Below are 14,360 nucleotides of genomic sequence, written 5' to 3' on the forward strand. Positions count from 1 at the left end.
TAAGTCCCTGGCTTCATGCCATTCAACATGGCCACCAAGAGTGGCAGCCTTGAGACTGGCAGAGCAGGAAAGCCTGCCTACCAGACTGGCTGGGTGAACAGGGCCCTCATCAGAGGCACCCATTCCATCATTCACTTAAGCATCAAATATTTACTAAGTACCCACTGTGTGCACAGTCACCTGCTTACTGCAGGGACAGAGAGGTGGGGAAGGGTAGACCCTGACTTCAACCTCCCCACAGTGCAAAGAAGCAGATGCCCAGAAAATGTTTACACATCCAGATCTGGGATCCAGAAAAGGGAGCAGTCAGCCACATCACCCTTCACCTGAATTTTGCCGTAGCATTACTGTTGATTCCACGCCTATAATGTACCCTTTGCTAGTCCACCCTCCATGTTATCTCAAGAGTGAGTTCTCTAAAAGCACAAAGCTTAAATTCAACCTGACTTTCCATTAAAAGTGGACAGGACTGTTCAGAATCTGCTCCCTCCTCCCTGTACTCTGATGTTCTTCACCTTCCCCTATGACCTCTGTCCCTGCCTGCAGCTCCAGGAATCTGGAATTGTCCTGGCTGTGGGCACTGCTGACTGCCCACCCTGTACTGCTCTCCTGCTCTCTCCTCATGTCCCATTACCCCCTGCCCAGCTCTTGGGAGGAAGGCGGCTTGTCCTCCTTCTCTGCACGCAGCATCCCCTGCGTAATTGACCTGGGGTGGAGAGTCAGGCTGAAGCGAAGATGACTTCCTTTCTGTCTCACTGGTGTGGATAAGAGAGCTTGTAGCGTGTTGCTGTTGGCTGCCCTGAGACAGACCACTGGGGCCACAGCCCTGGGATGAAGCTGAGGGTGAGGACAGTGAAACACATGAGGAGAAGGCAGCTGGGTCCCTGGTGGAGGCATTAAGATGCTGAATGGCACCTCACCTGGAGGCTGACTTGGACTCGAGTTACACACACTTAGCAATGGTTTTTGTTACTAGCAGCCCAAATTCAATAGATGTTGTTCATGCCTCCAATGCCTGTGCACACTCTGTTTAGACACAGGGTGAACACGTGTCCCACATGGCTGGGGACAGCACTGGTTTATGCCTATTGTTTGATTATCATTGGTAACCGCATCCCCTTTCCCTCTCCAGTGTTCCAAATCTGGACAATGGAGTAGGTGTTTCTGCTGCTGGAATGAGGCTGCACAGACATCTGCCTGGCACACTCCTAGCCAGAAGCCTAGAGCATCGCCTCCCTGAGGAGGCTTATCCAGCCTCTCTCTACACGTCCCTGCTTGCCTGAAGGGAATCCCGTACTCCTTTGTAACAGCCCCTGTCATGTGGACATGCTGGTACTGCATGCACTAGACTGCACTGAAATAACTTATATTTATTTTTATTAGATTGTGAGCTCAAGGGGAGGAACCACATGGCCACGTGTGCTCAATAGATGATTGTTAAAGACATAAATAAATCATTCAAGATATATCATTTTCATATAGTAGGTAGGGCCCTCTGAGCCACAAGGTGGCCATGTAATAATTTACAGGGGACAGAGCCTGACAGAGCCTTGGGCTCCTCCTCCAAGGTCATGGGCACTCACTGACCAGCCAAAAGCCGTCAGTGGAGGAATCTTCTGACCCTCCTCGGCTCACTCAGCAGCCTGCAGGGTCTGCCCTCAAGAACCTGGCACGGTGCTCTGGGCTCCATCTGGCCGGGGAGCTGGCAGCAGGACAACACCAACGATACCCCTAAAGGCCCCCAGCTGCTTGGCTGAGGATTTTGTGATGCCTGAGCTGGGTAAGGGCTGTCCCCTACTTCTAGAAGCCAAGGGTCATTTCAATGGACAGGGCCCCAGGGTCCCCACTTCCCATCTCAAAATGAAATGCCCCTTTATTCTTAAGCAGACATCAGGCGTCCTAGAACTGAACTCCATTTGTTATTTCTTTGTTGCTCTTTGTCCTCGTGCACAGGCCTGGGGGCTTCCTTGAATAGTTTCTCTATTGGAAAGACCTGAGTAAAGGGAGGTTGCATGGCTGTAGGTCTTCATTCTGTGTCTCCAGAGAAGGTTCCGTGCAGCCATGTGCTGCCTTCCCTCCTGGGCTGCCCTGGAAAACTTAGTTTATCAGATAGTCCCACCATCCTAGAACAGAGAGGGCAGAGGGGACCCCAGCAAAGGAGATGGCTCCTTAACAAAGAATGTGGGCATCTAGACAAGGAGAGTCAAAAAGAGTCCCCAACATCCTCCTAAAGCCAGCACCACCAATGAGAGTGACACAACCATTGGTGCTGAGAAGCACAGCTTGTGGCCCATGGCGGGGCAGCTCAGCACCCGGAGAGGCCTCCTGCCCTGCCTGCACTGTCCATGGGTCCCATATGGTCCTGGATTCTGAAAGCCCAGAAAGGCAGGAGCTGGAGATTTTGCAGAGATCTGTCAGAAGTAAAATACACCTATCAGAATAAACGCCTAGCATCATAACATGTATTCGGGAAGTTTTCTAGCATCATCTCTGCACTCCCACCTGCTGTCTCCAAACACAGATGGTCCTGGGCCCTCAGCATCACTGACTTGGACTTCTCAACCTCTGTGTATTTGCCCATCTATTTCTATCCGGCAAAACCGTACCAAAACTTTTAAACCCAGTTGAAATAACTTCTCCTACAAAGCCTGCCGTCTACGAGCTTCCAAAGTGGAAGAAATTGGGATTTATTTTTACTCCTAAAAACATTGGACCTCCTTGACTACAGATGTTAGGATCCTAGAGCAACCATGTGAGTGTGTGTATGTGCGCATATGTGTGTGTGCAAGCCCTAGCGACTGTCTGAGATCCCTTGGGGGGAGGCACTGTTTTGTCCAGATTCCCAGAAGTTTCTCTGTTTTGTGGTCCATGCTCTGAAACATTGAATGAGTTGATCACTTGCCTGAGGACTGGAAGGAGACTGCTGGTTTCAGGCAGATGAACTTGAAAATTATGAAGAATGATCTTTTTTCTCTTCTGGTTTGGCAAATAACTTTAATTCTCTAATGGAGAGCTTTAATTGGAACCTTGATTCTATATTCAGAGGTAATGGGCTTTACCAAAAATGGATTGGAGCAGTTCATAAATTTTTCCCAAAATGTTAACATACTACGGGGCCGATAGGGGTTGTTTAGCTTGGCAAAAAAAACTAGCATTAAAGATTAAAATAACAACTTCCTGGATTCCTGTGCAGGCTGCTAACTTGTCCTGGTGTCCTTGGGCCCTGAGTGGACAGTCGTGACATCATCAGTAATGACCATAAATCAGCAAGAATCCCAACCTCTTCATAGTTCTCTTGCAAGAAGTTTGAGGGAACAAACAGGCAGAGTGGGTGTCAAGGAATAATGACTGATAACAGCTAACTTCCTGAGTGCCCATGCCACCCACATCTCCTGTGAGGGCTGTGCCTCGGTGACCTCTGTAACCTCCTTCCAGCCTGCGAGTGGCTGGGTGCCTTCCCCAGGTCGTGTGGCTGAGAACATGTGACTGTACTGGATTTGAGAGTCCAGGTCCCTAACTGCTTTGCTGCACCTTCTCAATTAGAAATAACCTGCAGAGGTTCCAGAACAGAGAGCTTGGCTGAGGCAGAGAGGCGTACTCTGAAGGTTCGGATCTCGTGTTCTTCACTCCAGGCCAGGGACCATCGTGCCCCAGACACAGTGAGGCTGGGCTCTGGAATAGGTCTAGACTGGGTCTGGATCCAGCTCTGTGGAGGGACAGGGTACCTCTGGGCTTGTTGTTCATGCCCTCAATGCGTTGGTGTCTTCATCTGTAGAATGGGGTCTTTATGACATTTAAGGGAGACACTTCATGTGCAGGGCTCAGCACGAAATCTGGGCTTGCGGCGAGACGGAAAAGGAGAATGGGGAGGAGGAGGAAAGGCAATCGTGGCTGCGGGTGTTGGCAGGGCAGGGGGCAGAGTCTGTCTGTCCTCTTGAAATTGCTCCCATTTCTGTGGTCCTAAGAATGTTCAAAGAAAGAAAAATAAGTATTTGCAGACAGGCCCTCAGGAATCTGCTCCCCATGACTTTCTAGTGGCTGCCCTGTCTTTCAGCGCCTTTGGAGCCTGGTGCCCAATTGCTGCTTCTCCTTCACTCTTCCCCTTCTGCCCGCCCTTGCCATCTCTGGGATTGTGGGCTGGCCACTCAGCTGGGTGCCAGGGCTGGTGCTTGGGTTTGTGTGGGGGCCCCAGCACCAGTACTGCACAAATGCAGCCGGGCAACAAGTACTCTGTCCCCTCTCCTGCAGCTCCGCTGAGTGTTATACCCCAGCCCAGGACCATCAGAGGGTGGGACCCTCTGGACCACTCCCTTAAGAGTGACCTGCTGGCTATGGGACATCGGGGCCAGGCCTACCTTCCCGCAAAGTCACAGGGATGTTTCCCACAACTGAGAGGGTTTGGAGCTCTTCCACCCAGCAATCCCTTTGACCTGGAAACCAGGGGGAGAGATTTATGGATCTCCAAGTTAATGAAGCTCAAACACCAGCTGCCTGGGCTTCAGTGGAAGGCATGGCCCTTCGTTCACTTTCTCCATAGCTCTGCCGCTTTCACAGCCAGAGCCAAGATGACCAAATTCCTTACATAACCACAACACTAATTCATCATGTGTGTTTATAATAATGAACACACTTCAAGGCCATTGACAGAAAGCAGCCTCCTGATGGTTGAGTCTCCCTGGTCATGCAGTGCAAAAGCCCATCAGCCAAGCCTCGAGATCCGGGTGAGATGTGACTTATCTTGGGAATGGCTGGCTTTGAAAAATACACACAGAGTGACCCACGGCAGACCCTTAAGCCCTGTTTGCAAGCCCTCATGTATTCTCTGCCTCATTAAAAATGTTGTTTAAAATTGCCGAGGGATAATTAAACAGGCCTGTGGTTGATTTACGGAGGACAAACAGAGCTATGAATGCACAGAAATATTGTGTTGTGGGGGAGGCAATTTATGAAGATAAGGCTAACTGTTGACCAGAGGTTGGCCACAGAAGTGATGTGTCTTGATGATGCTTCAAGTCCACAGAGGCCCAAAGTGTCCAGGTATTACATGTTGACTGCCTGGCCCACATTTTGAGTTTAGTAGCTTTTTAATCTCAATACCCCAACTAACAAATGAAATGAAAGATTGTTGCCCATGCCGCTACCCCACACTCACAGACACATGTTTGGAATTTGAAGTGGAAAACAGGGTGTCTGACTGTGATACTGATGTTGGAGTGGCCCCCACTTCTCAGCACCCAGCCTTGCCTGGCAGCATGGTTGACAATCCCCCAGGTGGTTTTTATGGCAAGTTATAAATCAGAGGGTGTGGGTGCGACTCAGGCACATCTGGGTCCTCATTCTGGGAGTTCTTTGGAGTAGGATGGGGAAGGACATTGTCATTCTCTCTTTGTGTTGATGCTCTTAGTAAGCAAACAAAACACAGAATGTAGCCGAGGCTGCCTTCATAGAGGAGAACCATCCTAGAAGGCAGAGAACATGAGACTTATGAGCCCGTGACCTTCCCTGCCTGGCCAAGCTCCCTGCTGATCCAGGAGCAGCTTCGGTCCATGCCTGGAGTCCTGATGCAGGCCCTGCATCCTGGCAGCTCCTGGAGCTTCCAGCAGCTGAGCCTGGGGCTAGTGTTTTGGGGCCACAGTCTCTGTCCTGTTTGGTCCAGTCCCTCAGTGGTCGGTGGTCACAGGGACACCTACTTCCAGCCACTTTAAAAGATTTGGTCTCCACTGTGTCTGAGAAAGGCTCCTTCTACCCTGAGAGCTGTGTCCTGGAAGCCAGCCTGCACCAGGGCCCTCCTGGACACCTTTGTGCATTTACCCATCACTCCCTTTTGGCCACCTCTTGTCTTCTCAGCTCTGCCCTGAGCATATTTCCATCCCTAACGCCTCCAAACCTGTGACCCACCCCGCAACCACGTGCAGAGTTCCACACTGGAGCCCTGGGACCCGAGTCCTCTGTGCTTGGGCGTGAGGCCAAGCTTCACTTCCTCTGCCTGTGCACTCAGGGTTGCGTACCCTGAGTGCCCCAATAACTTCCAAGGGAAAAAAATTAAATCGAGCTCTAGAAATGACCACAGGTTGCATAGCGTTCATGACACATTTTCCCTGCAGGGTCCTATCTTGAAGGTGCTCCCAATATCATCAGGGTGACCGTGAGAAAATGGCCTGATCCTGGCTTCCTTTGTTGGCTCAAGTCTACCCACTCTTCTGTTCACCACCTTAGAAACTCTGCCCTCCTCAGAAACCCACGCTTCTGCTTCTGTCTTTCTGAATGTCCCTCTGTCCATCTCCAACAACATCCCCACATGTCCCAATTAATGAAACTGCCCTCCTCAGCGTTAGGCTATCACCTTTCCTTCTGTCAGAAACCGCCTCAGAATCTGAGTAACTCTTCCGGGCTCTGAACTCAAAGCTATCCCCAAATCACCACCAAACCTCCCTTTGTTCTAAGGAAGGAAACATTTCACCAGCCTGGTTTGAGTTACTGTGTGTACTTGGAAATATTTGAAATACTCAAAATACTCTTTCCTATAGAATTAAGTTGATTTAAACTGTCCTTGTCTTCAATTTGTCTGAATTGGTAAATTTATTGGATGGGAAAGTTAAAATCAATGACTATGTTTTACACATCCCCCACAACCAAGAAACCCAAATCTTGAAATAAAGTAAATGGTTACTTTATTCTATTTAAGTGTCCCCCAGACTTAAGGTAATCACATACTTGAGGCTTTTACATTTCTGTCTTATTTGTCAGTAATTCTAACCCAAGAGCCATTAAAAAAGTGGAACTTATTGTTTAGCTTGGAAGGGAAAGCTCCTCCTGTTCCGCAAATCACCGAGGCACCTCCCGTCCCGTCTACCGTGTCCCGAGCCTTTACAGCCAGGACCGGGAAAAGTCAGTTTCCTTTTTACATAAATAGGAAAGTCGTACCGCTGTGCATGTGACCCCAGAGACTGGCCTCTGCAGTGCACTCCAATCTGGTAAAAATGTCACTTCTCCCTCTCTCTAAGTTAAAGCATGTGGATGATCCGAACAACACAAGAATAAGCTAGAATGTGAAGCAGAGTCAATCTTATCAGTTAATAAAGTCAAGTTGTTGATTCAGAGAAGATTGGCCCTGAGAGGATTTCAGGAGCAGCAGTGTCATCAGAGCCGAGGCTTCATTTGTGGTTGTTACCACAAACTCTTGGCTGAACCCAGAGGTGGACAAGATTTGGGTATGTCTGCAGGGAAGGAAGCAGTGGTGGTGGAGAGGTATTTATGGGTTTTAAGATTTAAATAAAAGAAAAAACCACATTGTCATCTGAAAGAAGATAAATGGCAAATTGTTGAAGCGACAGGCCCCTAGGGACTAATTACTCTTCCGCAGTAATTCAGGAACTTCACCAGTGACTTACATTGACTTAACATGTCAAATGTCAGTTCTGTGTTATGAAATAAAAATACATGTTCTTTTAGTGTAAACAATACAGAAATGTTCTCAGATGTCCCAAGTTGTTAGTCATGTGGGACAGATTCAGTGCCCTATGATGCATGTCCACGGCTCTGTGCCTGAGGTTACAAAGTGTAACAGGGCAGCTTTATAGTTAAAATCCAAGTAGACACCTTGTTCATCTGGGGGCTGAGGAGCACCCACACCACCCCTCGGAGACATTCATGTTGCACCTTCAGAATGCAAGAGTGATCATGAATAAGTGTTCCTGACACTCCATTCTCCAATCTTCATTCTACTTTGGTTTTGGGGAGGTTGTTGCAGGACATTGATGGGGAGACCGCTGGCCAGCTGTGCCCCTGGTAGGGTTTCAGCCAGTAGCAGGGTGGCAAAGCTTACAGCACTGCGCTACATGGTGTGAGCTGCTTTGGTTTCTCATGGGGTATCACCACAGGTCAAATACAATGTGTCTGCAAACCAGGCCGAGAAGCTGGTGCACAGCTCACACGCTACACATGCTAACTCAATTGAAATAGGCTTTCAGCAACAGGTGCACACTAGTGCTTATTCTACACGAGGCTCCATGCAGGTCATAGAGGGCTAAGGTTCTGTGTTCCGTAGAGCAGGCCCTGTCTTGCTGCTTCTTCTCTGTGGCTTGGCTCAAGGTCTAACAGTTTACAGAAACCCAATCACTGTTGGTTGGCTTGAAGACAGGATCTCTGCCTACAAACTTTTCATAGTTTAGGAGAAAAATCCTATTAATCATCCAAGGTTCAACCAAGAAGAGAGGTCACTCTAAGTATTTATAACAGAGGACTCTCATTGCCCAGGTTATAGGAAGACTTTGAGGCCAGAGCACAGTGACATTGGAGGGAGCCGCAACCCTCCCTGGGTTGAAGGAACTAAGGAGGTAAGTAGTGCTATGGGGCCCAGGTACGAGGTTCACCCTTTGGAAGCTGGCGTCTTGGCTTCCCTGGCAGGAGCTGGACCCTCAGGGAAGTCTGCTGGAGATAGTGCTTAGGTGTGGGGAAAATGGTGATGGAGAAATACCCTGGCTTCCCCCTTCTTACCCCTCTTTTTAGCACCTCTCTCTGGGGTGAATCCCACCAGAAACCAATTGGCACATGAGCCAGGAATGACAGTCTAACAGGCTCAATCCTTCCTTCCCTGAAGCCCATCCCCATAATGCAGAGAGGGAAAGGGCTTGGACTGGCTCTGAGGGCAGACAGGTTCAGGATTGGCACATCTTCCATTGGACAGCATCCCACAGCCTAGGAATAAATTTCCTTTATGTATTTCATTCTCAAAATCCCCACAAAGACCCCGTGAATGGTGCATTTTTACCTCATTTTATGTATGAGAAATGTAAGACCCAGAAGCTTCTGATAAATGACTATAAACTCCCCAGCTAGTGCCCGGCTCAGCAGTACTCACGGTGGGTCTGTAACCCCCATTTCCCTCTTACCCTTGCTCTACGTAAACCTCGAAAGGCTATTTTTCTTCTAAGGACTTATGGGGAGATCTTTCTGCTCATGAAGGTTTTGCATTTTAGATTATTGTTCAAATTGTCTATTTCCCTTTTGATCTCCTGTCTAGTTGTTCTCTCCATGATTCCAAGTGTGGCGTTGATGTTGCCAAGTATTTGTATTGGTCTATTTTTCTCATTATTTATATCAGTTCTGCCCCATGTATTTTGGGGGCTCTGTTAGAAACATATGTTTATAATTGTTATATCTTCTTCACGAGTTGATTCTATTGTTATTATAAAGTGTCCCTGCTTATCTCTGATAACTATTTTTGTTTGAAAGTTTATTTTGTCTGATGTCAGTATGGCCACTCCAGTGTTCTTACAATTGTTTGCATGATTATTTCTTTTCCATTCTTTTACTTTCAGCCCATTTATATCTTTGAATCTAAAGTGTGTCTCCTGTAGCAAACATATAGTTGGATCTTGTTTTTCTTATCCTGTCTGATCTGATAATCTCTGTCTTTTGTGTTGCTTAATCCATTAATATTTAATGTTAATATCCATAGGTTTGGATTTATGTCAGCCATTTTACTTTCTTCTTTATGTCTCATGTCTTTTTTTTGGTCAAGTTTGGCATATAAAGCTGTATATTACAAAACTGGGGTTTTGGAATGCAAAATTTAATAGCATAAAGTATTATTTTGCTTTCTTTCTTTTGTGCGTGAATCTCTTCCAAGGTCTTCTCTAGGAGGAACTCAAACACCTCTTCTCCACCTTGCAAGTCCTGCTGAGTTGCTCTGGGAAGGGGTTAGGAAGGGAGGTAGGGATTCACATGCTTCTGGTAGAAGAGATGAGTTGCAAATAGGGAAATGCCCAGTAGCCCCTCAGCCACCACTCCTCCTTACCTGCATCTCTTCAGATCATTCTCTTCAAGTCATTTCAGGTGCATGAAGACATTGGTATCTGAATGGCCAAGAAATTCTCTTCAGACTTGCCCATCACTGTTCATGGGGACCAGAGGGCAGTTCTCTGTGGATCACAGTCAGTCTAAAGCACCTTCCCCTAAAGCTACCAACATTGAGGCATCAGCCAAGGCTTCCCCACCATGTGCTTTAGTCCACCCCGTGAAAGCCACAGGCTTGTGGCAAATGATAATAGGGAAGCTGATTTGGCAAAGTGGAAAACATGATATTATCAAGTGAATAAAGCAAACTACTAAATTCTACTCCTTGCTGGGACCACCAGGAATAACTAAGAATGCCTGTGGACAGGATTGAGGGGCGGCATGGGTCAGACAATTTTTTTGTCGTAGTTCAGTGGTGATGTGCCTACTGCTTCTCTTTTGTTACATGTCCTTCATTAGTGTCATAATTCTTTTTGGTTTTTGATGTAAGAATCAATTAAAAAAAGAAAAGACAAATTAAGGAAGGGCTGATGGAAAGAAGAGGTGGGGAGGGAAAGAGGTAGAGAGGGAGAGAAGACAAAGAAAGGGAGGTTCGATTTCATTTGGGCTGTAGGAAAAAGCTAATCCCCTCAAGTTTTAAGCCAGCTATAGTTGATGAGTAATAAAGGGAGGTCCAAACCTCATTTATGTTTTAATATTGACTTTGTGTAGTAAAAAGCAGGGAAAAATAGAGTGTCATGGGGAGTTCAAGACCTAAAACGGAGCATCTGAAACATAACCTAAAAAAAGGATACTGTGATTCCAATCCAAGGACTTTAATTTCATACAAGGGAATAGGAAACTGCATGGCCTGTAAAACGTTTTTTACGTTTGGTTATTTGCTCTGAGGAAGGAAGCCGAGGCTCATCTCTGCACCCCGTCCCCTCTGAGCTCTGCAGCGGACGCTGCTGCCGCCGCGCCTGCTCTGCCCGCTGCCCGTGACTCTCCGCAAGGCCTGTGCACTGCCTGTCACAGTCTCCTCTCCTATGATCGCTGCCCTCCCTTGGCTCCCATATCCTCTCTGTCGGAACCTCTGTCCTCTTAGGCCCCATGACCTGTTCTCACCTGATTCCCAAAACCAGCTGAGATGTTTCCAACTCCCTGGAGCCTTCCTGATCTCTGGACCTCATTTTAAAAGAGAAGCTGAATTCCCCACAGTTGTGTTTCTGAAGCTCTCAGACTCTCTCTTCCTAGGAGAAATCATCACCTGTTAGGTTGCGTCCTGGATACCTGTTGGGTGGTTTATGTCAGGTCATCTTAGCTGAGCTGGCCGTTATTCCTCAGAATTGTCTTCTCTGAATAGTTCCAAGGCAGCCTGAAACACATGTTGTGACGCAGAAGGCTGCAGCATGGGAGCAGCCTGACCACTCATAGGTCCGTGCAGGCCGTGTGCCTGACCCCCTGGCTCACCTGGTCAGCGTGGGGCAACTGCTGGTGGCCACTTTCGGGTCCTGCTGTGGCCCCCGCTCTGGCCTCTCCTACTAGAGATCAAAGCAGTTTCAGTTGGTCCTTGCGGGTCCTGTGCAGCCGCGGGGGCCACTTGGTCTTTCTTCCTACACTTGACATCTGTCATCCTCCTTGAATGCTTGCCCTGTCTTACAGGCTCTGGGCCACAGCCTCAGATGCAGAAACAGCAGCAGCAGCCCCACAGGCTGAGGAACCAAATCCCTGCTTGAGGCCAAACCCCTGCAAGAAATGTATTATTCTACAGCTACTGCAGTCCTGCTTGGCACTGGACCTCACAGATGCCCCCCTGTAAGCTGCCCAGATCGCTGTCAGGCAGGGCCAGGGATCAGCTCTGGTTCTTCTCTCTTGGCAAGTTTAGGCATAGAGCAGGCACTCACAGAACACAGGTTGGTTGGGGGCCTTGATGTACCCAAGCTAGCTGAGATGGCCTTGCAGACCCTGGCTGAGCGGGTCTGAAAAGAGCAAGGGCTGGCTGGCTTCCCATGGCTGGAAGAGGCCTTTTGGTTGTGGTTGTTTTGGGTTTTTGGTTCCCCTCATGGTGGGACTACTTGTCAGGCAGGTGCTCGGAGACAGGATCCTGACAGTTGTGGCTCCTCAGATGCCTTCATCTGTCCAAATGGTCTGACGATGGCTGTGCCCCAGGGCCAGGAGTGTGTCCCTGTGCAGTGTGGTGCTTCAGGCTGCCTGTGCTGCACCCTCCTGGAGCTCCAGGATGGCTCCTTCCCCTTGGATCCCTTGGACACAGATATCTTTGTGTCTCTGGTCTTTGGGATCTGGCCCCAGGCTCTCCCACAGGAGGACAGACTGTGGCTGCTGGCCTGGTTTGTGGACCCTAACGATGAAGTCTCTATGATGCAGTTAGGTCCAACTGACACGTGTTTTCTCCCATAACTCTGGCACGACCACTATGCTGCCTCCAGTGCTGCTGCCCACCCTGCACACTCTCTGCCCCACCCTGGTGAATTTCCCTGCTGACTATGGGGTGCCCAATTGGGGGAAGGGGGCAAATCATCCCCCTACGTGGATCCTTTCTGAGCTAGAAATTCCCAGTGTGAGCTGCTGTGTTGAATTTAAGAATGATGTCCAAATGTCATCAGTATCCATTGCTTGGCTCTGCTCCCAGGGCCTGAGGACAAAGCAGGACTCTGTGGTCACAGGCAACAGGCCCTGCTCACTGCCTTGCTCCACCAGGTGGGTTAAACGGCAGCTCCATCTCCTCCTGCCCGCCTCAAAGCCTGGATCTACAAGGATGTCCAGGTCAGTGCAGCATCACAGCAAATGACCCCAGGCTTCCTTCTCTCCATTGTTTCATAAAGTTCTCTGATGTGCATGTTACCATGGTTACAAATCCATCAGTACATTGCTCTCCAAGTGATCAGAGACTTTCTGCTTCTTAGTAGCTTTTGGTCACTTTAGAAAGGGCCTTGGATGTCTAGAGAGGGGGTGTGGGCAGACATGAGATGACCACTGAATGACCTGTACTTCCAGTTTCGGGGCTCTTGGGGCTGGGGTGGCATTATGGCTGAGTTGTGTTCTCCCAAAACTTGTATGTTGAAGCCCTAACCCCCACTACTGCAGAATATGACTGTGTTTGGAGATAGAATCTTTAAAGAGGTGATTAAAGTTAACTGAGGTCATCAGGATAGGCCCTAATCCAATACAACTGATGTCCTTCTAAGAAGAAATGAGAACACAAACGTGCATAGGGGGAAGACCATGTGAGGACACAGGGAGAAGACAGCATCTACAAGCCAAGGAGAGGGGCATGAGAAGAAACCGAACCTGCCAGCAACCTGATCCCAGACTCCCACCCCTAGAAGTGCAGGAACAATGCAAACCTGGCCTATGGTGCTTTGCTACGCAGCCCTGGAAAACTAGGACAGGTGCGTCTTAGTCCATTTGCGTCACTATATAGAAATGCTTGAGGCTGGGTAATTTATAAAGCAAAGGGGTTTATTGGCTCACAGTTCTGCAGGCTGTACAAGAAGTGGGGCACCAGTATCTGCCTCTGGTGAGGGCCTCAGGGAACTTCCATTCATGGAGGAAGGCACCACATGAGGAGACGGGAAGCAAGATAGGGGAGGAAGCACCAGGCTCTTTTTAACAATCAGATCTCATGAAAACTAATAGAGTGAGACTTTGATACTCTGAGGATGAGGATGGCACCAAGACATTCATGTGGGGCCGGCTCCCATCACCCACACACCTCCCCCAGGCCCACCTGCAACACTGGGGGTCACATTTCAACATGAGATTTGGAGGGAGCAAACATCCAAGCCATATCAGGTGGTGACAGAATTCCCCTTGGCTTCCTCCAGCGGCCCCACCTATGGCTTTGGTGGATTTGGTGCCCACTCAGTGAGTGCTCACTTAGCCCAGTGATACTGCACGCACACGGCTCACTTCTCTTTCAACAGTTCCTGTGATTCTTCCCGATGTTCCCAGCCTTCCACCTTCACATTTTGGATGCCGCTGCTGTGCGGCCCCATCTTGCATGAGCTGCCTCCACTCAGCAGGTACCATCTGGGCTGCCATTTCCTCCTGGAGGGCCCAGGGGAGTGGGGACGGGGGTGAGAGGCACTGGAGCAGAGGATCCTGTCCCTGCTTTTCCCTCTTGGCCCCTGGCTCAGCCCAGCAATTCCAAAGTGGGACACCGAGGGGAAGCAGATGGAGGGCCAGGGTCCCAGGGCAGCCCCTGTCACAGACCTGAGGGGAATCGTGCTTGAACGTGGATGTCATTGACTCAGGGTCTTCCTTTGTCTTCCTCATCTTAATTCCTGGAGACAGAAAATTGCACCTGGCAGCCTTTGATGTTTTGTACAGGATATGGAAAAAAACAAATGTTGGCCTTTTTGAGTTCAGTCGCATATGTAGCCAAAGGCCCAGGAGTGTAAGCTGTCTGCAGGGAAGGCAAAAGCATCTCTGTTCATCGAAGCTGCCCATTTGTCCAGGGTTATGATAGCAGCATCCATAACCTGACACTGTATGATGGGTTATGGCTTCCTGGCCATGTTTTCAAGCATTTTTAAATTTTAATACAGGTATTGTTGTCTTTG

At 48.9% G+C, this 14,360-nt stretch overlaps 1 long non-coding RNA gene across 2 annotated transcripts in view; it reads left to right on the top strand.

Moving 5' to 3' along the window:
* The window catches only part of LINC00841 (long intergenic non-protein coding RNA 841), a 71,970-nt gene that overhangs the window by 49,083 nt on the left and 8,527 nt on the right, over nucleotides 1–14,360 (top strand). Inside the window, exons 6-8 of one of the 2 annotated variants that reach the window (NR_033846.2) lie at nucleotides 7,005–7,211; nucleotides 8,257–8,336; nucleotides 11,440–11,529. The exons of the other annotated variant lie outside the window; for it this stretch is intronic. This is a non-coding gene — a long non-coding RNA (long intergenic non-protein coding RNA 841). Of the gene's footprint in view, nucleotides 1–7,004; nucleotides 7,212–8,256; nucleotides 8,337–11,439; nucleotides 11,530–14,360 lie in introns of those variants that run through there. 2 annotated transcript variants of the gene reach the window in all.

Source organism: Homo sapiens, chromosome 10, assembly GCF_000001405.40.
Source record: "Homo sapiens chromosome 10, GRCh38.p14 Primary Assembly".
Lineage (NCBI taxonomy): Eukaryota > Metazoa > Chordata > Mammalia > Primates > Hominidae > Homo > Homo sapiens.